General features: G+C 43.8%; 1 protein-coding gene across 15 annotated transcripts in view, besides 4 other annotated features; it reads left to right on the top strand.

Annotated features, from left to right (window-relative positions):
• The window catches only part of FRMD4B (FERM domain containing 4B), a 373,805-nt gene that overhangs the window by 292,606 nt on the left and 59,547 nt on the right, over nucleotides 1-21,652 (top strand). For 13 of the 15 annotated variants that reach the window (XM_017005993.2, XM_047447767.1, XM_047447771.1 and 10 more), the window contains one exon: nucleotides 733-755. The exons of 1 other annotated variant lie outside the window; for it this stretch is intronic. In XM_017005993.2, coding sequence (XP_016861482.1) covers nucleotides 733-755 — 23 coding nt within the window. Of the gene's footprint in view, nucleotides 1-732; nucleotides 756-12,794; nucleotides 12,885-21,652 lie in introns of those variants that run through there. One more of the 15 variants, XM_017005995.2, reaches the window with a different exon arrangement.
• Nucleotides 502-1,026: an enhancer, noted in NCBI's record as "NANOG hESC enhancer chr3:69298106-69298630 (GRCh37/hg19 assembly coordinates)". NCBI's record gives its function as "activates a minimal SCP1, AML or CMV promoter by ChIP-STARR-seq in naive H9 embryonic stem cells {active_cell/tissue: H9 hESC(naive)}" and the evidence as "EXISTENCE:reporter gene assay evidence [ECO:0000049][PMID:30033119]".
• Nucleotides 13,954-14,453: an enhancer, noted in NCBI's record as "H3K4me1 hESC enhancer chr3:69284679-69285178 (GRCh37/hg19 assembly coordinates)". NCBI's record gives its function as "activates a minimal SCP1, AML or CMV promoter by ChIP-STARR-seq in primed H9 embryonic stem cells {active_cell/tissue: H9 hESC(primed)}" and the evidence as "EXISTENCE:reporter gene assay evidence [ECO:0000049][PMID:30033119]".
• Nucleotides 14,454-14,955: an enhancer, noted in NCBI's record as "H3K4me1 hESC enhancer chr3:69284177-69284678 (GRCh37/hg19 assembly coordinates)". NCBI's record gives its function as "activates a minimal SCP1, AML or CMV promoter by ChIP-STARR-seq in primed H9 embryonic stem cells {active_cell/tissue: H9 hESC(primed)}" and the evidence as "EXISTENCE:reporter gene assay evidence [ECO:0000049][PMID:30033119]".
• Nucleotides 18,274-19,038: an enhancer, noted in NCBI's record as "H3K4me1 hESC enhancer chr3:69280094-69280858 (GRCh37/hg19 assembly coordinates)". NCBI's record gives its function as "activates a minimal SCP1, AML or CMV promoter by ChIP-STARR-seq in naive H9 embryonic stem cells {active_cell/tissue: H9 hESC(naive)}" and the evidence as "EXISTENCE:reporter gene assay evidence [ECO:0000049][PMID:30033119]".

The raw sequence follows: 21,652 nt of genomic DNA, 5'->3' as shown, positions 1-21,652 counted from the left end.
TGCAACTCTGAAACTTTTGCATGGGCCAGTGTTTGTTGGATTTTTAAGCCAGTTAGTTGTTTGCCGATGAAAAATGTGCGCCACCGTCTTCTGCTTTAGAATAGTTTGCATGAGCTACAATGTGATATTGTGAGTCTCAAAGAAAAATGAAATTTAGACTGCTCTGAAGGAGAAGAATTAAACCCATATTCCTGGAAGAGAGCTCTGGGATACTTGAATTTGGGAGGCAGCAGTTGTTACAACAGCTGTAATTTTCATTTAAATTTAGTAACTTTTGTATACATTTTCTTGTGGTCCAGTAAAAGAGCCCTTTAGTTCTTAAAGGCATTAGTCTGTTTCCATGCTGGTTTAAAAAGTAAAGGGAAAACAAATAGTATGTGTTGGTTTACCTGTATTGTGGTTTAAAAGGTCTTCCTCCAGTCTAAAAAGTGTGCCACTTGAATGAAAAGCATTTATCATGTGATCTTAAAAACGTACAGTGAGAAATAATTATCTGTGCTTTTTCACATACATATGTTTCTTTTGTTAAGAATAAGGAATATTCCTAACAGGACAGTCAGGGTTTTCTTATCAATGCCTAATTCTTCTTATGCCTATAGGGAGAGCATTCCTGAGAAACACTCTTCAAAACAAAACTCAGGAACTTTAAGAGGGGAAAGTAATCAAGATAAAACTCATTTAGCTTAACAAAGATACATATTGATCAACTCTGTTTTTGTTTGTTGTTTTTAGGAAGCCAAGGGAGATTATACCAGGTAATGCTTTTCTTTTCTGATATTACTATGCAAAATAACCCTAAAGAATCATTTTATGTGGTTATTTTAAATAACAATGGATACAAAATCAAAGGAAAGTAGATCTGTAAGGCAGGAGACTGAGATCTCTTCGCTCTTCAAATAGAGACCTATTCTTTTTGTGAATGAATCAGGGAATGATGCTTTCTTACAGTTTTTGAAGCCAGAATGACAGCGATGGAACCAGAAGCTCTCCAAAGTTCTGTTTTCTGTCATCTGTTAATTAGTGAGATGAAGAAATCTATAAAAAGCTTTGATAGCTTATGCTGATAAAAAAAAACCTTACAATAATCTTGTGTTCGAAGAGTTATAATGTATGCACAAAAAGATTAAATCCATCAGCTGCTTAGTTAAGGGATTAATAGGGGCTTTCTTTCACAGCTGCCCCGAAGGGGCCTCACCCTTCATACACTTGACCTAACAGTTGTATTGTTGCTGCGGAGACACTTAATGGTTCTAACTGCCTCACTGGCCACATCCACAGAGGGTGTTTATATTTGAATTCACCCTCTACCTGCTCCATTCTGTCCTTTTAATGCAATCGTTGGAGTTGTAGAGAAACAGTTAAAGGGTGGAGGCAATGCTTCCCTTTGTAGGCCAATGACCCCTTTGAAAGCCTGGCCTCTACGATGTTAATGTTCGACTCCTGGTAGACGTTACTCGTAGATTATTTACAGATCACCTAGCACTCATTCCCAGCCAAGTCTTTGAATAATGTGCCCCTTAACGGACTAACAAAATAATGCCTTCCAACCTTGAAAACTTCCAGTTACGGAGTTGTACTTCAGTTCGGAAACTCCCAACACTCTCCTCATCTTCCCATTCGGCTTTGGTAGAATGTTCAAGGATGCCACTTAAAACACCATGATTCCTCACCACAATCTCCCACCAGTTCTGTTTTGTGCTCTCTCTATATATATATATTTGTGTGTGTGTGTGTGTATTTACATTTTTCTAGGTTAAGAAATTTGAAGAAATCATGAAAATCAAACACCAGTTGTTTTTAATGGAAAGAAAGGGGCAGGAGTTTAAAAAAAAAAACAAGAGTATAAGGTAGTTTACAGACCATTAGTATCATTAAAGGCTCACGCCTGAGGCCGGGCATGGTGGCTCACGCCTGTAATCCCAGCACTTTGGGAGGCCGAGGAGGGAGGATCACTTGAGGCCAGGAGTTCCAGACCAGCGTGGCCAACATGGTGAAACCCTGTCTCTACTACAAATATAAAAATTAGCTGGGTGGCCGGGCACGGTGGCTCACGCCTGTAATCCCAGCACTTTGAGAGGCTGAGGCGGGCAGATCACAAGGTCAGGAGATCGAGACCATCTTGACTAACACGGTGAAACCCTGTCTCTATTAAAAATACAAAAAAATTAGCTGGGTGCGGTGGCGGGTGCCTGTAGTCCCAGCTACTTGGGAAGCTGTGGCAGGAGAATGGCGTGAACCCGGGAGGTGGAGCTTGCAGTGAGCCGAGATAGTGCCACTGCAGTCCGGCCTGGGCAAAAGAGCGAGACTCCGTCTCAAAAAAAAGAAAATTAGCTGGGCATGGTGGCAGGCACCTGTAATCCCAGCTACTCAGGAGGCTAAGGCAGGAGAATTGCTTGAACCTGGGAGGCGAAGGTTGCAGTGAGCCAAGATCGCGCCACTGCACTCCAGCCTGGGTGACGGAGTGAGACTCAGAAAAAAGCTGCTGTGTCTCTACTGTTGTCTTCTCCAGAAAAGCCACGTTTCCTGGGAATATCAGATATGCAAGGAACACAGTCATTTATGGGGGTGATTTTTAAAAAACAACCCTGGATAAGAAATCATACGGGAGGTGATTCTAAAGTCAATTTGTAAATGAGGGTTTCAGGGCCCAAAAGCTCACACTCAATGGATTGCTAACCCACCTTCCCCACTTAGCCCCAGTCAAGGCTGTGACTGACACCCTCTGAGCCTCAGTTTCCTCATCGGTAAAATGGTACCTTTCCCATAAAACTGTCATGAGAATCAAATGTATGTAAACGTTGCCCAGGGCAACATCTGGCTTATAGCAAGTAATCTACACCCTTGGGCTATTATTATTAATTTAGTTATTATTATCCTCATTATTACTATCATCCTATCTGGTCTCTTATCTACCTCTGATGAGACTTTTGAGACTAAGGTTGGTCTGAAGAAGCTGTAATAACCTATAGTTATGGGGGAGGTGGAGAATAGAAAAAGAAAGGGTAATTTCACAAACCTTCCTTAGGGAAGATCCCTTGCCTGAGGCAAAGGAAGGCCTAAAAGGGACAGTCCTTCAGTTGTTCAAACATTTGAGCCCTAGGACATCAAGGTTGGCGAGTTAATTCTGGGCAAGCCCAGTCCAGACCTTTGCCTTCACTCGAGCTTGTTCCTGGTGGTTTTCCTGAGTGATCACGAGGTTGAAGTGGCGCACACTGTTTTGAAATTGTCCAAACTACACTAAGTAGTGGAGAGAGCGTGGGACTGGAAATCACGCAGACTGGCAACATCCCTCTGAGTGGCCACTTATCCTGTCTGAGCCTCGGTTCCCTCATCTGTAAATTGGGGTTAATCAAAACAATGGCTTTGCAGGTTGGTTTTCAGGACATGTGGGAGCATTTTGCAAATTACCATGCTCTCCCTATCTGATCTTCTCCCCTGAATAGAGAGGATATGTTTTTCCTCCAAAGTTTTGTTCTAAAACTCCTCTTTGTTTTTCTTTTGTTTTATTTTGTTTTTGTTTATTTTTGAGATAGAGCATTGTTCTCTCACCCAGGCTGGTGTGCAGTGGCATGATCTTAGTTCACTATAACCTCCACCTCCTGGCTCAATCAGTTCTTTCATCTCAGCCTCCTGAGTGGCTGGGACTACAGGTACACACCATCACACCTGGCTAATTTTTGTATTTTTTGTAGAAACAGGGATTCACCATGTTACCCAGGCTGGTCTCAAATTCCTGGGCCCAGCTGATCTGCCTATGTTGGCCTCCCAAAGCGCCGAGATTACAGGTGCAAGCCATCGCACCCTGCCTTGTTACAAAACTCTTCTGAGAAAATCAGGCGCCGGGTGCCGAGCACAGTGGCTCACGCCTATAATCCCAGCACTTTGGGAGGCCGAGGCAGGTGGATCACCTGAGGTCGGGAATTCGAGACCAGCCTGGCCAACATGGAGAAACCCTGTTTCTACTAAAAATACAAAATTAGCTGGGCATGGTGGCACATGCCTGTAATCCCAGCTACTTGGGAGGCTGAGGAAGGAGAATCTCTTGAACCCAGGAGGCAGAGGTTGTGGTGAGCCGAGATCACACCATTGCACTCCAGCCTGGGCAACAAGAGTGAAACTGTCTCAAAAAAAAAAAAAAAAAAAAAACAAATTAGCCTGGCACGTTCGCAGACGCCTGTAGTCCCAGCTACTTGGAAGGCTGAAGCGAGATAATTGCTTGAACCCAGGAGGTGGAGGTTGCAGTGAGCCAAGGTGGTGCCACTGCACTCCATCCTGGATGACAGAGTGGGACTCTGTCACAAAAAAAAAAAAAAAAAGAAAAGAAAATCAGCCAAGGCCAGGTGCAATGGCTCACTTCTGTAATCCCAGCATTTTAGGAGGCCGAGATAGGCGGATCACTCGAGGCCAGGAGTTTGAGACTAGCCTGGCCAACATGGCAAAACCTTGTCTCTACTAAAAATACAAAAGTTATCTGTGCATGGCAGCACACATCTGTAATAACAGCTCCTGAGGAGGCTGAGACACAAGAATCGCTTGAACCTGGAGGTGGAGGTGGAGGTTTGCACTGAGCTAGAGATCGTTCCACTGCACTCCAGCCTGGGCAACAGAGCAAGACTCTGTCTAAAAACACACACACACACACACACACACACACACACACACAAAGAAAGTCAGGCAAAATAAAATACCATGAGGCAATGTTGTAGTGGTTAGAGCAAAGACTGTGGAACCAGACAGCCTGATTCAAATGCCAGCTTGGCTACTTATTACCTGTGTAATCTTGAACAAATTACTTAAAATCTCCAAGCCTCAGTTTCCTCATCTGTAAAATGGGACTTACAATTATAATACACACTCCATAGGATTGCTGTGAGGATTAAATGAATTAATATTGCATTTGTAAAGTATTTAAAACAGTTCCTGTAATCCATCTTATTTTACCAAATTGATGGACATGATGGACTCCCCTATTGTTACAAATATTACTTGTTTCCCATATAAATAATGGGAAAAAAGATGTTCATCATGGCCTTATTTATATTAGCTTTTTTTCCCCATAAAGCTAATATAAATAATGCTGTGATGAACATCTGTGTGTATTTATTTTTAGTCTTGCTCTGTTATCCAGACTGGAGTGCAGCTCATTGCAACCTCCACCTCCTGGGTTCAAGCAGTTCTCCTGCCTCAGCCTCCCAAGTAACTGGGATTACAGGCACATACAACCATGCCCGGCTAATTTTTGTATTTTTAGTAGAGACAAGTTTTCACCATGTTGTCCAGGCTGGTCTCAGACTCTTGACCTCAGTGATCCGCCCACGTCAGCCTCCCAAAATGCTGGGATTTTTGTTTAAACAGAGTCTCGCTCTGTCGCCCAGGCTGAAGTGCAATGGTGCCATCTTGGCTCACTGCAACCTCCACCTCCTGGGTTCAAGAGATTCTCCTGCTTCAACCTCCCAAGCAGCTGGGACTACAGGCATTGAGACTGTGTCTCAAAAAACATGATAAACAAACAAACATTGACCAAAATATGTCCCCAAATACCTTCCTAGGCAAAGTGGCTTTTTCAGTAAAAACAATGACTGACCACCTAATTCTTAAGGCTGCTCTGGTCCACTCCTTGTGAATATCCACCTCTTTCTTGAATTCAGCATTTCCGAAGCTGACCTCACCAACAGCCCAGCCTCCAAACCAGCTCCTCTTCCATTGTCTCCCTTTGAATTACAGCTCCATTCTCTCTTGCATGCTGTCTGAGGATTTCCCCTTTCCTTTCCCATCTTTTTCCCACCTGTCAGACAGATTTCCTTCTGCTGATCAGCACCGCAACTTTCTCAGCCCTCATTCCTTCCCACTCAGCCTGACTGTAAAAGTGTGTGTGTGTGAATTATGTGTTGAGCTAATAATTGGGTATTACAGTGTTATTTTATATATTATTTTTTGAGATGGAATCTCACTCTGTCGCCCAGGCTAGAGTGCAGTGGTGTGAGGTTGCTCACAGCAACCTCCGCCTCCCGGGTTCAAGCAATTCTCCTACCTCAGCCTCCCAAGTAGCTGGAATTACAGATGAGCACCACCATGCCCAGCTATTGTTTGTGTTTTTAGTAGAGACGGGGTTTCACCACGTTGGCCAGGCTGGTCTCGAACTCCTGGCCTCAGGTGATCTGCCCGTCTAGGCCTCCCAAAGTGCTGGGATTACAAGCGTGAGCCACCGTACCTGGCCTACAGCATTATTTTAAATGTACATGTCTGATTTCATTCAGTCTTACCACATTAGCTATTATCTCCATTGAACAAAGTAATAAATGTAAAATTTAAGCCCAAAGAGATTGTTACATTGCTGGTGAGTTCTCAGATCTGTTCTGATTCCACCACACACTACTGCCTGTGCGTAACTTCCAGCTACCTTCCTACGACATAGATTTGATCATTGTTTATTTCTAAAAATCTCTTAATTTCTCATTGCACACAGACACCTGCCCACCAACACCAGCACAACCTGGCATTCAAGGCCATATTTGGTTGGCATTACACATTTAGTCTCCCATTCTCTGCTGTGCATACTCCTTAGTATCTGCTCATGCCTCTCTTCATTTTTTCTCCGCATGGCCCATGCTATCTGCCTTCATGGCTTTGTTCAAACTCTTCTTCCTAGAATACCTTTAAAAACAGCAATCCTCCCTTTTTATTTTGTTTCCTGCCGTGTTCCCTTCAGAGTATTTTAAGTTAACATTATCATAACCAGTAGGAAACCCTGCTCTCTGAAAGTTAATTAAAATAGTGGAGTGGGGACTTCCATTTTCTTTAAATAGATGACAGTCTGAATTTCCAAGTCAGCCCTTAAACCGCAAAGATAACAGGCTACTTGGGTAACACAACACAGACAAACAGAGAATTCCTGAAAGCTGACACGGCAAGGAGGCAAGGCTTTATCACCCAGCTGCCAGCCACAAATGAGTTTGTAAAAGCAAAGCTTTTTTTTTTTTTTTTTTGAGACAGAGTTTCACTCTCGTTGCCCAGGCTGGAGTGCAGTAGTGCGATCTCGGCTCACTGCACCCTCTGCTATCCGGGTTCAAGCGATTCTCCTGCCTCAGCCTCCCGAGTAACTGGGATTACATGTGCCCACCACCACGCCCGGCTAATTTTTGTATTTTTTAGTAGAGACGGGGTTTCACCATGTTGGCCAGGCTGGTGTTGAACTCCTGACCTCATGATCCACCATCCTCGGCCTCCCAAAGTGCTGGGATTACAGATTACAGGTGAGCAACGAGCCCGGCCTTTTTTTTTTTTTCCTAAGATTTTGAGAGGTGAAAATTACCAAGTAACTATGTGATTAGGGTGCTTCTACTTGTAAGAAAAAGTGAGTGACTACATTTTGCAATTCAGTGCTGGGTCAGAATGAGAGTATATTAACACCCAGCTTCAAGTGGGAAGGGAATATTCACAAGTTACAGCTGTGCTACAAAAAAAAAAAAAAAAAAAAAAAAAAAAAAAAAAAAAAAAAAAAATGCAGCTATTTCCCATGGGAAAGGAATTTCTTTGGATGCCCTGGAGAGTAGTTAAGGAAGGGAGGATAAAAACACTTTCAAGAAATTTGCCCCTTAGTTATTACACCTCTGGAGCACTTAAAGCTCTAAAATCTAATTTCATTTCCAGAGTCTTTACCGTCAATGATAATAATAAAAATATCATCTCCCATGGGCAAGGCGCTATGCTGAGTACCCACTGGAATCAATGGGAAGGCTGTAGTGAAGAGAGGAGTTTTGGAATTTAACTGCCTGGGTTCAAATCCAGGCCCAGCCACTTGTTATGTACCTGTGGGTAGTTTGCCTAGCCTCTCTGGAACCATTTCTTTGTCTCAATAAACAATATTTGCCATCGTTACTATTATTAATATGTTTAATCCTCACAGCAACCCTTTGATGGCACTGTCATTGTCCCCATGTTATAGATAGGAAAACTGAGATTTGTAGCTGTTAAGTAGCTTACTATTTAGGTCACATAGCTAGAGAGTGGCAAATTAGGGCTCCAAACCACATGCATTTTACCACTGTTAGAGGTTTCCTTTTTTGTTTTTTGGGGGTTTTTTTGTTTTGTTTTGTTTTGTTTTGTTTTTTTGAGATGGATCCTCGCTGTGTTGCCCAGGCTGGAGTGCAGTGGTGCAATCGCAGCTCACTGCAAACTCCGCCTCCTGGGTTCAAGCAATTCTTCTTGAAATTAGCCACCATGCCTGGCTAATTTTTTAATTTTTAGTAGAGACGGGGTTTTACCTTGTTGGCCAGACTGGTCTCAAGCGCCTGAATCTCAGAAAATCTGTCAGCCTCGGCTTCCCAAGAGTGCTGGGATTACAGGTGTGAGCGACTGCACCCAACCAGTTTCTTTTTTTGTATCCCAACACAAATTTGTTAGAATCATTACCTTCCTGGCCAGCAGAATAAAGAAGGCTTACTTGACAGAAATGAAACGTTTTTGTCTTATTTCAGGTCGGGCCTTTGATGAATCAACAAAACACTTTTGTGAAAACTCTTGAGAAGTGATTTTCCTCTCTACAATACTTGGTTAAAAGTTAAACAAAGTTTCCCAAGTTCTCTTGGCTAAGTTTTCAATCTGCTCATGAGCGCTATGAATCTCCCAGAAGGGGACACATAAGCAGCATTTTCCACTCTTATTTCAGCCTCTTGCTGGACCACACACTCTACTCTATGAACCATAGAATCAGAGTAGGAGTCAGGCTTCTGCATTTCACAGCTTAAGTATTTTGCATTTCAAAACCCCTTGCATTTCACAGCTTAAAAAAACCTGATGCAACTAAATGAACACAAAAACCCTAAGTCCCACCTTAATACATCTTTAGACAGTTACTAACACCACATAGGATCAGTCCTATACAGGAAGTAACTCTCTTGACCCATTTGAGTTCTCAGTTTCTTTCTCCACTGGAGTGGACCAGGCCGTTACACCCATCATAGCTACTTGGTCCTGAAATGAAACTCAGCATACTTGGCCTCTTCAGGTAGCGGCTGGCTGAGACACAGGCATGCGTGGCATTCGGTAGGAATAGAAAGTAGCATGACATGAACTACTTCCACTTCTCAAAGTGCAAACCATCCAGAGTCTACAGGAGCTGTGAGACGACATTGTTGAGGGAGAATTCTACATTCCCCCGCTGATAAGCATTTCCAGGCCTTTTGGTTTGTTTCTGGAAACACACTAAGTGATAACATAACACATAACAATACAGTCTTCTTATCTGTGTTCAGATGGCTAATGCGGTTAATCCATTTTTTTGTGTGATCAGGAAAGACACATTGAATCACACATACAGGAAGAAGGATTAAAGAGTTGGGGCTTCAAGTTGACCATAAATAATTTTTCACTTGTCTAGTAGGAAGTTTCCCAGAAGAGAAACACATTTCTTTGACTTTCCATTCTTTTGTAGGAAAACATTATCTGCATTGATTGTTTTTCTTTTACGTGTTCTTTTTTTTTTTTTTTTTTTTTTTTGAGACAGAGTCTTGCTCTGTCGTCCAGGCTGGAGTGTGCAGTGGCGCTATCTTGGCTCACTGCAACCTCCGCCTCCCGGGTTCAAGCAATTCTCCTGCCTCAGCCTCCCAAGTAGCTGGGACTACAGGCACATGCCACCACGCCCGACTAATTTTTTGTATTTTTAGTAGAGATGGGTTTTCACCATGTTAGCCAGAATGGTCTCGATCTTCTGACCTTGGGTTCCACCCTCCTCGGCCTCCCAAAATTACAGGCATGAGCCATCATGCCTGGCCTATGTATCCTTTTTCTAACTCTAGATTTAAGAATAAATTTTTTTAAATTGTAGTAAAATATACATAAAATTTATCATCTCAACCATTTTTAAGAATAGAGTTTGGTAGTGTTAAGTAATGTTTATGTTGGGTGTGTGTGTGTGTGTGTGTGTTTGAGACAGAGTCTTGCTCTGTCGCCCAGGCTGGAGTGCAAGTGGCATGATTTCGGCTCACTGCAACCTCCGCCTCTTGGGTTCAAGCGATTCTCCTGCCTCAGCCTCCTGAATAGCTGGGATTACAGGCACGCACCACCACACCTGGCTAATTTTTTGTATTTTTAGTAGAGACAAGGTTTCACCATGTTGGCCAGGCTGGTCTCGAACTCTTGAGGCAATCCACCCGCCTCAGCTTCCCAAAGTACTGGGATTACAGGCGTGAGCCACCACGCCTGGACGTGTTTATGTTGTACGGCCAATCTCCAGAACTTTTTCATCTTGGAAAAACAGAAACTCTGCACCCATTAAACAGCTCCCTATTCACTCCTCCCGCAGTCCATGGCCACCACCATTCTACTTTCTGTCTCTATGAATTTAACAGGAGAGAAATAAAATATTTTTATTTTAAATATTTGTAGATTTTCATGTTAACCTGCTTCCCAACCTAAGTCATTCTTATGGATGATATTTCTTCTACCCATTATTAAGAGAGTTAAAGGTTCAAAGTAGACATGATCGGAGTCCTCAGGGAGCTGGCTGACGTTTAGAAAAATCTTTCATCACATTTTCATTCTCATTAGAAATTCCTTAGACCTAAAAACAAATAGCTTGACAGTTGATCCCCATCAAGCATGCAGATGGGCAGAGTAATTGTCCCCTGTTACAAGTTAGGCCACAGACAAAAATGTAATGACAAAGGAATTCTAGCTGAGAGGACACTGCACTTCCCAGAACACAAGCAGGTTTCCTGCTACAGGATGCATCTTTGGTAGAATGCTGAGAAAATAAAAGGCTGACACCAATCCTGTGGATCAGTCATGATGTTGGAAAAGTGAGTTTCTAGGCTGAGCTTCCACTGGTTGCCAATAGACTCTGTCAAACCAAGCCCCAAACTGCTCACAACTCGGAACTTGGCAAGTTACTTTCAAAGTTCTTTTCCCAGGCAGTTTATTATAAGCCCTTAGAGTTGCCAGATTTAGCAAATAAAAATATAGGACGCCCAGTTAAATTGGAATTTCAGATGAACAACGAGCAATTTTTTAGTATAAGTATGTCCAATATATTAAATCTGCCAACTCTAACCCAGATCACCCCTTTAGGATTCTTCTCAATAGTAATAATCGACCACCAGCCTGGGCAGAGAGTGGTAGGAATAAAGTGTTTGGTAAAATCTTTGGTTTATTATGCTACCTTCAGAAAGGAAGGAACATTTTTGTTGTTGTTGTTTTGAGGCAGGATTTTTCTCTGTTATCCTGGCTGGAGTGCAGTGGCATGATCATGGATCACTGCAGATCACGTGCCCCCTGGGCATAAGTGACCTTCCCATCTCAGCCTCCCGAGTAGCTGGGACTACAGGTGTGTACCCCACGTCTGATTAATTTTTGTATTTTCCATAGAGATGAGATTTCACTGTGTTGCCTAGGCTGATCTCAAACTCCTGGGCTCAAGCAGTTTGCCCACCTCAGTCTCCCAAAGTGCCTGGATTACAGGCGTGAGCTACCACACCTGGCCAGGAAGGAACACATTTATTGAACATAGGCAAGTGCCTTCATTGCATTCTATTGTAATATACCCAAGAATCCTATGCAACAGGTCACTATTTGTATTTTTATAATATGGAAATGCAGGCTCACAAAGGTTAGTTTATCTAAGACCACAAAACTCCTAGGAACAGAGAGACCTGGGACTGAATGCAGTTCTAAAGGCCAAACCGTATTACTGCAAATCATAGGCCTAGAGCTGATTGGTTGGTTGGTATTTTTGATTTTTTCCTAGGTATGTACTGGCTGCCTGTGTACTAGCTCTAGTAAAATGATGGGCAGCTAGGTGATCTTTCTAAATCTCAGTTTCCTTATCTGTAAATTAGAGCACCAACATCTTGGGTGCCATGAAGACTAAATGAGTTTGTGTAAGTAAAATGCATCCTAGGCACTTGTCACACATAGCAAGTGCCTAGGATGGCCACCTTAAGAGCCCAAAGTGGATGGGCGCTGTGGCTCACGCCTGTAATCCTGGCACTTTAGGAGGCCAACGCCGGCCGATTGCCTGAGCTCAGGAGTTTGAGGCCAACCTGGGCAACATGGTGAAACCCTGTCTCTAGTAAAAATACAAAAAATGAGCCGAGCATGGTGGTGCGTGCCTGTAATCCCAGCTACTTAGGAGGCTGAGGCAGGAGAATCACTTGAACCCAGGAGGCAGAGGTTGCAGTCAGCCGAGATCGCGCCACTGCACTCTAGCCTGGATGACAGAGCGAGACTCTGTCTCAGTAAATGAGTACATAAATAAAAGCCCAAAGAATATCTTTTATCATCCTATGAAAGAGAAGCTGAGAGGTCTGAGGAAGCTGGGGACCAGAGATGGTGTAGAAATGCATGCTCGCACCTGAACCCCCATGAAGGCGCTAGAAATGCATGAAGCCTAGAAATGCATGCTCACACCTAAACCCCCATGAAGGCCTTCTTTGCATGCTCACACCTGTAGCCCTGTGAAGGAGCTTCTTAGGATGAAGGATGGGCCAACAACTTCCCACCTCTCACAGAAACAGTGGGAGGCATCCCTAGATTTGGCCAGAGGCCAGGAGAAAGGCTTATATAATTCTTTCAGTTCTCACTTTTCACTCTGTAAATAGCTGCAACCTGACTTGGTTTAAGGTCTGATCAAGAAAGGTTTAAATCAAGAAAGGTTTAAAGGTAGGGAGGAAATTCCAAAAATGAAAGACCCTGTGGCTTAGGAGGGGAGGAGAGCAAGGGCTGGCACAGCCAGCTGGGTGTTTCCTTTCCCGGCCCCTCCCTCCTCTTCCGTTCCTCCCTAGCTTTCCAATTCTCTCCTCTTCCTCCTCTTGTGCTCCGGCCTGCAGTTGTCCAGAGAACAAACCTCTGGTCCTTTAGATCTGTTGCCACCTACTGTGGGAACTTTGGTAAGTTTTCAAACTTCAGTGGGTCTTGTTTCTCTCATCTGTGCATTTAGGGGTTGGACCAAATGAATTCACCTCGCTTACCCGGCTAGGTGGAGCTGCTCTCTTTTAAGTTTAGTCTGGGTGGGTAGAAAGTGAAGAGGGCTCTTTCTTTTAGCTGTTATGCAGTTAGCTCAGTCTGTAATCAGTTTTTCGGAACTAACTTGCAATAATCAGGAGTGGCATTAGGCATTGAGTGAACTTGAGCTCTAGCTTTCTGCTTTTGCATATGATTGACTGTGAATGAAAGTGTCAGCTTGTTTCTTCTTTTCTTCATCCCATCCCAGGCCTTAGTATACCCTAACAGTAACAGAGATAACTCATCCAGGGTAGAGATCTTACTCTGAGCTTTTTGAATCAGTATAAAAAGTGGGGCTTCAGGAATACCTTGTGTGGTTTAAGGAGCTTTAATTGATATATTGGACTTCTCACCTGTAGCAGTTTGCAACTCCCTGTTTTAAGGTTCTGCCGAAAATGACTGGAGTCTGGTTTTGCAGCTCATGTAAAAGTGTTTTTCAAAAACCAAATTTGGGGCCGGGCACGGTGGCTCATGCATGTAATCCCAGCACTTTGGGAGGCCAAGGCGGGCGGATCATTTGAGGTCAGGAGTTCCAGACCAGCCTGGCCAACATGGTGAAACTCCATCTCTACTAAACATATAAAAATTACCCGGGCATCGTGGCAGGTGCCTATAGTCCCAGCTACTCAGGAGGCTGAGGCAGGAGGATCTGTTGAACCCAGGAGGCGGAGCTTGCAGTGAGCTGAGATTGTGCCACTGCACTCCAGCCTGGGCAACAGAGCGAGACTCCATCTCGGAAAAAAAAAAAAAAAACCAAAACAATAACAACAACAATAAAACCCTAAATTTGGTGTCCTCACTACTAAGGGACAACTAGGCTATGGTTTTTGTTTGGTTTGTTCTGGTTTGGTGTGGTTCAAGAAACACTGCTAACACATTAAGTCTTGTTATCTATGTTCAGATCCTTGATGTGGTTAATCCAGTTTGATCTAGTTTAAAAACGCAGACTGTCATCACCTAAGCAATACATATTTTGGTGGAATTAATCAGTGGCTACCATAATGATAAATGCTGAAGCCTCAAAGTTAAAATCTTTCCTCTGCTCCTTCCCTATTTCCTGTCCCCTCTTCCTAGAATCCTGGAGGAGTAAGGCAAAGTTGTTAAAGCACAGGTTTGGAGTCGTATTTGCTTTGTGAGTTTAAATTGCTTAATCTCCCTTAACTCTGTTTTCATATCCATGAAATAGGGACACTGATGTTAATAGCATAATATGCCTGTAGAGAAAGGGGTTAGCCCACTCTCTGCCACCTGGTAATACCCAGTGAAAGAGCTGTTGTCCCTTAGAAGTATTTCTTTTTTTTTTTCCTTTCTTTTTTTTAATTTGATATGGAGTCTCACTCTGTTGTCCAGGCTGGAGTACAGTGGCATGGTCTGGGCTCACTGCAACCTCCGCCTCCCAGGCTCAAGCGATTCTTCTGCGTCAGCCTCCTGAGTAGCTAGGATTACAGGCACCCACCACCACACCCAGCTGATTTTTGTATTTTTAGTAGAGACAGGGTTTCACCTCAAAGCCAGGCTGGTCTTGAACTCTTGACCTCAGGTGATCCACCCACCTCTGCCTCCCAAAGTGCTGGGATTACAGGCATGAGTCACTGCGCCTGGCCCTTTAGAAGTATTTCTTTTGGGGGATTAGATGACAGCACTCATGTTTTGTCACTGCTAGGTCAGGTCACTTGCTAGAGTCTCCTAAAACAAACCTGAGCTGTCCACCCAAAAGCTTTGCTCAGGCTCCCTGACCATCTCTACAATTTAAGGAGTTGATTACAGTTTCTTTCTTGAAAATATTATTATTATTATTATTATTATTATTATTATTATTATTATTATTATTTGAGACAGGGTCTCGCTCTGTCACCCAGGCTGGAGTGCAGTGGCATGAGATTGGCTCACTGTAAACTCCGCCTCCTGGGTTCAAGCAATTCTCCTGCCTCAGCCTCCTGAGTAGCTGGGACTACAGGCACACACCACCACACCCGGCTAATTTTTTGTATTTTTAGTAGAGGTGGGGTTCCACCATGTTGGCCAGGCTGGTCTGGAACTCTTGATCTCAAGTGATCCGCCCGCCTCAGCCTCCCAAAGTGCTGGGATTACAGGCATGAGCCACCACACCTAGCCAAAATCTCTGTTTTATGTTGTGTTTATCCTATTGCAGTGGTTCTTAAGCCCTTAGTTAAAAGCAGATTGCTGAGCCCCACCCTCAGCCTTTCTGATCCAGTAGGTCTGGGGTGGAGCCTGAGATTTGCCTTTCCAGAAAGTCATCCGATAATGTTGATGCTGCTGGCCAGGGTACGAGGGTACAATGATAATCACTGTTTTCTTTTGTTTGTCACCTTTAATATTGCTTTACCTAGGAATCAGTAGAGAGAAACTTACTATTAGAAATTTCTAGTTGTTAAGTCCAGCAGATAATACACTGAATTCATCATTGAAGGCCAGGTTCTACAAATAACTGAAAGAAACATGATATTCTTTTTCAATAAAGGGCAATTTGAAGGCAAGCTAGCCAGTGAAAAGCTCTTAAACTGCTAATCACCCAGGTCTTGGTCAGTGCCAGTAGATTAGTTGAGGAAATTGGTGTTTGTTAATAGTAACCAAGATCCTTTTTAATAATTACTTGTTTATGCAATCTGTCATCCTTCAATAGAAGATCCAGCTCAAATGGTTTGATTGATAGTTAAGTTGGCACCTGTTACACCTATGTAACAGACATTTAATACACTTTTTTTTTTTTTTTTTTGAGACAGGGTCTCACTCTGTCACCCAGGCTGGAGGGCAGTGGCATGATCTCAGCTCACTGCAGCCTCCACCTCCCAGTGCAAGCAATTCTCCTGCCTCAGCCTCCTGAGTAACTGGGACTACACGCACGCGCCACCAGGCCCAGCTAATTTTTGTATTTTAAGTAGAGACGGAGTTTCACCATTTGGCCAGGCTGGTCTGGAACTCCTGACCTCAAGTGATCTGCTAGCCCCAGCCTCCCTAAATGTTGGGATTACAGACATGAGCTACTACGCCTGGCCTAAATAAACTTTTGTAGCTGCTATGATCACTAATCCTGTCCCATTTCTTCAGTGTAGTTCAGAACCTTGATGGGTCATCACAGGTTTCTAGTAAGCACAGACAAAGAAATGACTTCTCATCAAGGCCTATACAAGGCAACACTAGAAGACTGGCAAATGTTTCCAATTAGCTCCATTCCTAATAACAGTAAATCTTTGGTTTGCCTGGGACACAGTACTAAATAGAGTTCTTGGCTGTGATGACTTGCCCAAATCCTGGGAGGCCCCTGTCATGATCTTTTAATTTCTCATGTTATGTAAGCTGTATGGTACATATACACTTAATAACAGGCTTTAGACTTTACTGAGTGTTCAAATAGGCACTTAACTATGGCATTTTTACATCCACATACACATTTTCTGAAATAAGGATTTTGAGTTACAATTATGTGTAGGTGAAAAAAGAACTCCAGACCCAAGTTAATCTTTTTTTTTTTTTTTTTGAGACAGGGTCTCACTCTGTCACCCAGGCTGGAGTGCAGTAGGCGATCGTGGCTCATTGCAGCCTCGAACTCCCGGCCTCAGGTGATTCTCCCAACTCATCCTTCCAAGTACCTGGGACTACAGGCGTGTGCCACCCCACCCAACTAATTTTTCTGTATTGTTCATAGAGACAAGGTTTCACCATGTTGGCCAGGCTGGTCTCGAACTCCTGGGCTCAAGTGATCCATCTCGCCTCCCAAAGTGCTGGGATTACAGGTGTAAGCCACTGCAACCAGCCCCAAGTTAACTTTCTAAACAGCTTAGGTTTAGAAAGTGAAGCTTCTGTAGCTGTTTCCATTTGGATATTATATTTAATATACATTTTTTATGCACCTTTGGTTTGGGTTTCAGGTAAGGAAGCGCTTTGCTTGGAGAAGAAAAGTGAAATGCGGAGCTGGTGTGGTGGTTCATGCCTGTAATCCCAGTACTTTGAGAAGCCAAGATGGGAGGATCACTTGAGCCCAAGGGTTTGAAACCTGCCTGGGCAACAAAGGGAGACCTCATCCCTACCAAAAAAAAAAAAAAAAACAAACAACAAAAGTGAAATTTGCAACTTTGGGGCTTGGGCATTTTTTTTTTTTAAGCTGTTCTACAAATGGAGGATGCCCCCACACCAAGCATAGACAGCAAGGGTCTTAGTTTTCTCTAGGAAGTACTAGCATGCCCAGTGTGCTAACTGCCTGCACTCCCTTCTACGCCAGTCTCTGATAGCAGGTGGCTGATTGTTGCTGTGTACAAGCCCACAATTAGCCACAAGCAGGTGCACCCATTTGCTGGGGGTGGCTTTTTCCACACAAGTACTCCAGCACACACAAAGAGTAGCCTCAGTTTTGCCAGCCATGTGGCTTTCTCAAAAATGAGTGGGGTTGGCACATTCCGTCAGGGTACTTGGGGTCAGTAAAGAAAAACAGCCTGTGAAAGGGGGGCTTCAGAATGACCAAAGGAATTGTTGCCTGAGAAATAGTTGTAGTAGCTAAATAGTGGGTCATGGGCAGCTTCCTTCTGGAAAGTTATCGAAATAGGAATCTGGAATGCCTAAGGGAGGAGTTCAGCCTAGATAATCAGATAAAATGCAAGCATGTTCTTCATTGTGACATCTGAATTCCTGCTGAAATTATGGAGAGAAGCAATTTCTGGTTTGGTCACTGAGAAGTAGCAAGTGATGTAGATTTATGGGCATTCTCTCTGGCTAGGACCCGGAGAAACCAGTCCCTCATGGCAATTCTGGTCAAGTGCATCTTTAAAATAACATATCCGTTGCCATTAGGGTCAGTAATGTCCAGTCAGTTTGAGTGTATTTATTGCTGGTGAAAGGCAGAGACATCCCGATTGAGGCTTGTTCACCTCCCCTACTACTTTTGGGCCCTCCCTCTGAACTCTGAGGTTGATCCTGACTCATAAATCATGCCTCCTGCCCAGCCGGCCAGGGAGGGGCCTTCTGTGCAGAAGCCAGACCTGGCTGCTCCTACAAGCTCCGTAGATCCCTTGCAGCCTCAGGCTCCCAGACAGATTCCCCGGGAGGGTGAACAAATGAGCACTCAGCTACTGCCAGTCCACTCAAACGTGAAATCCCGTTTGATCCTAAACTATGGAAACGATCGAGCTTAACCTTCTATAATAATATGCCAGTGTTTCTAACATCCCAGTGGATTCATTTTTGGTTTAGTAGGTTCTAACCTCTTACGTTACCGTTGCAGCACCTCCCCATAACAGGGCAGTGATCTTGAACTTCGGCTTTCCCCACATCCACTCAACTGGCCATACTTGATTCCATTTTTGTTGTGAATTATATCACATAGAATAATGTGTAAAACATGTATATTGGTATAAAGAACAAATTAGAAGGATGCAGCTGGGCCGGGCACAGTGGCTTACGCCTGTAATCCCAGCACTTTGGGAGGTGGAGGCGGGCAGATCACCTGAGGTCACGAGTTCGAGAACAGCCTGGCCAACATGGCGAAACCCCGTCTCTACTAAAAATACAAAAATTAGCTGGGCGTGGTAGCACATACCTGTAGTCCCACCTACTGGGAGGGCTGAGGAAGGAGAATCGTTTAAACCCAGGAGGCGGAGGTTGCAGTTAGCCAAGATGGTGCCACTGCACTCCAGCCTGGGTGACAGAGTCTCGGAGAAAAAAATAAGGAGAAAAAAAGGATGCAGCAATACAACCACAGCCAGTGAGGAATGTTGCCAGGACCCCAGAAGCCTCCTGCCCCCCACTGTATATTGTACTTTCCTACCTCCAATAAAATTCCCTCTTTCCTCATGGGCATTCTGACTCTATGGTAAATGTTTTCTTGTCTTTGTTTTGTTAAGCCTATAGCACCCAGTATTTCCGGGCTGTCTCCCATCCAAGAAGTAACCAGCCCCAACCTTACTTAGCTTCCCAGATGAGATGAGATCGAGTGCTTGTCTTTCCTCATAGTTTTATCACCTATGTGTGATTGTTTCTAGTTTCATTTTGTTTGTTTTGGACCTTTATGTACATGAAGTAGTGATTGTGTTTCTTATTTGGGGACTTGTATCTTTGCTCAATATGTGTGACATTCATGATGTGTGTAGCTATTGTCTGTTGTCTTTGCTGCGTGGTATTCTATTACATGAATACATTACAGTTTAAGCATTTATACTGTTATGGGATATTTGAGTTGTTCTTTTGTGTGAACAATGTTAGTGTAAATTTTTTTTTTTTTTCGAGGCAGAGTCTTGCTCTGTTGTCCAGGCTGGGGTGCGATGATGCGATCTCAACTCACTGCAGCCTCTGCCTGCCAGGTTCAAGCGATTCTTCTGCCTCAGCCTCCCAAGTAGCTGGGATTACAGGTGCCCACCACTATGCCTGGCTAATTTTTATATTTTTTTAATAGAGGTGGGGTTTCACCATGTTGGTCAGACTGGTCTCAAACTCCTGACCTCAGGTGATCCACCCACCTGAGCCTCCCAAAATGCTGGAATTACAGGTGTGAGCCACCACGCCTGGTCCTAAATCTTACTCTTGTATATAAGTTTCTCTAGGGAATATACCTAGCAGAGGATTACTGGGTTATAGGGTATGCAAATTTCCAAAATGATTGTACCGATTGACACTCTTACTAGTAATGGATGAGAGTTCCTATTGCACTTCATCTCCATATAAACTAGACCTTGTTGGAGTTTTAAAGTTTGATAGTCGCCGGACGAGGTGGCTCATGCCTGTAATCCCAGCACTTTGGGAGGCCAAGGCAGGTGGATCACGAGGTCAGGAGTTCAAGATCAGCCTGGCCAACTTGGTGAAACCCCATCTCTACTAAAAATACAAAAAAATTAGCCAGGCGTGGCGGAGGGCGCCTGTAATCCCAGCTACTCGGGAAGCTGAGGCAGAGAATTGCTTGAACCTGGGAGGCAGAGGTTGCAGTGAGCCAACATTGCGCCACTGCACTCCAGCCTGGGTGACAGAGCGAGACTCCATATCAAAAAAAAAAAAAAAGTTTGATAGTCTGGCCGGGTGCGGTCTATCTCTTGATCATGAGGTCAAGAGATAGAGACCTTCCTGGCCAACATGGTGAAACCCTGTCTCTACTGAAAATACAAAAAGTAGCTGGGCATGGTGGCGTACACCTGTAGTCCCAGCTACTCCGGAGGCTGAGGCAGGAGAATCATTTGAACCCGGGTCCTTGTTTAGGACCAAACAAGATCGCACGACTGCACTGCAGCCTGGCGACAGAGTGAGACTCCATTGTGTATTGGTAATTAATTGAGGATTTAATTTGCATTTCCTTGATAACTTATGAAGATGAACACTTTTTTCTGTTGGCCATTTGGAATTCTACTTCTATACACTGCTTGTTGAAGAGTTTAACTCATTTTTCTGCCAAGCTATCTGTGTCAGTCGTCTTTCGATTATTCTGCTGGCTTTCTCTTTTAGTGTTATAGTCACGTCCACAGCTCAACCACTTCAAATATCGGTGATGGCTTGCTGGAAAATTCCTATATTAAACAGGTTCTTATAGGAAAGTGATGTTATATATTCACAAGGGATATTTTGCAATAGTACAAACGACCAGATTTGGATGATTAACAGGAGCCTTTTCTAACGTGAAGAAATAAGGCCATGTTCTTCCCTGAGAATGTAATTTTGGGGGGCTGGCCATGGTGGCTCATGTCTGTAATCCTAGCACTTTGGGAAGCTAAGGCAGGAAGGTTGCTGGAGGCCAGGAGTTTGAGATCAGCCAGGTCAACATAGTGAGACCCCATATCTATGAAAAATTAAAAATTTAGCCAGACATGGTGGCACGCAGCTGTGATTCTAGCTACTTTGGAGGCTGAGCGGGGAGGATCACTTGAGCCCTGGAGGTTGAGGCTGCAGTGAGCCATGATTGAGCCACTGCACTCCAGCCTGGGCAACAGAACAAGACCCAGCCTCAAAAACAAAACAAAAAAAAAAAAAAAAACATGATTTTGAGGGATAGTCAAGATTCCACAAGTAGCGAGACAAGTAATTTGCCTAAATTACTTGTCGCCTTTAATCAATCACTATTGACAATTTGCAGTTAGCAAATTATCTGATTATCTGAAACTAGAAACCAAGAAACTGAGAAGGCATCTTCTCTCCATTCTTTTTTTTTTTTTTTAAATAAGAGAATCTCACTCTGTTGCCCAGGCTGTAATATATTGGTGCAATCATAACTCACTAGAGCCTTGAACTCCTGGACTCCAGTGGTCCACTTCAGCCTCCCAAGTAGCTGAAACCACAGGCACATGCCATGACACCTGGCTAATTTTTTAAAAATTTCTTGTAGAAACAAGGTCTCACTGTGTTGCCCAGGTCGGTCTCCAACTCCTGGGCTCAAGAGATCCTCCCAGCTCAGTCTCCCAAAGTGTTGGGATTATAGGCATGAGCCACCATGCCCAGCGAGCTCTGACTTATGTGAAGATAAATTAAAGTTTTGATCTCTATCACACAGAGTCAAATCTGTATCTTATATGAAACATGGGCAATGTTCTCCTCTCTTCAGAGTTCACACCATATCTCAGTGTCCCCAGGTCTGATGGTGAGTTTGACTTACATTTCTCAGCTCGCTTACCCAGTTGATTTTCTAATGCCTGTCTCACTTGGCCCCAAGATATTTGCATCTGAG

Source organism: Homo sapiens, chromosome 3 (genome assembly GCF_000001405.40).
Source record: "Homo sapiens chromosome 3, GRCh38.p14 Primary Assembly".
NCBI lineage: Eukaryota > Metazoa > Chordata > Mammalia > Primates > Hominidae > Homo > Homo sapiens.
Note: the sequence above shows the minus strand (reverse complement) of the source record. Positions and strands in the feature narration are given on the sequence as shown.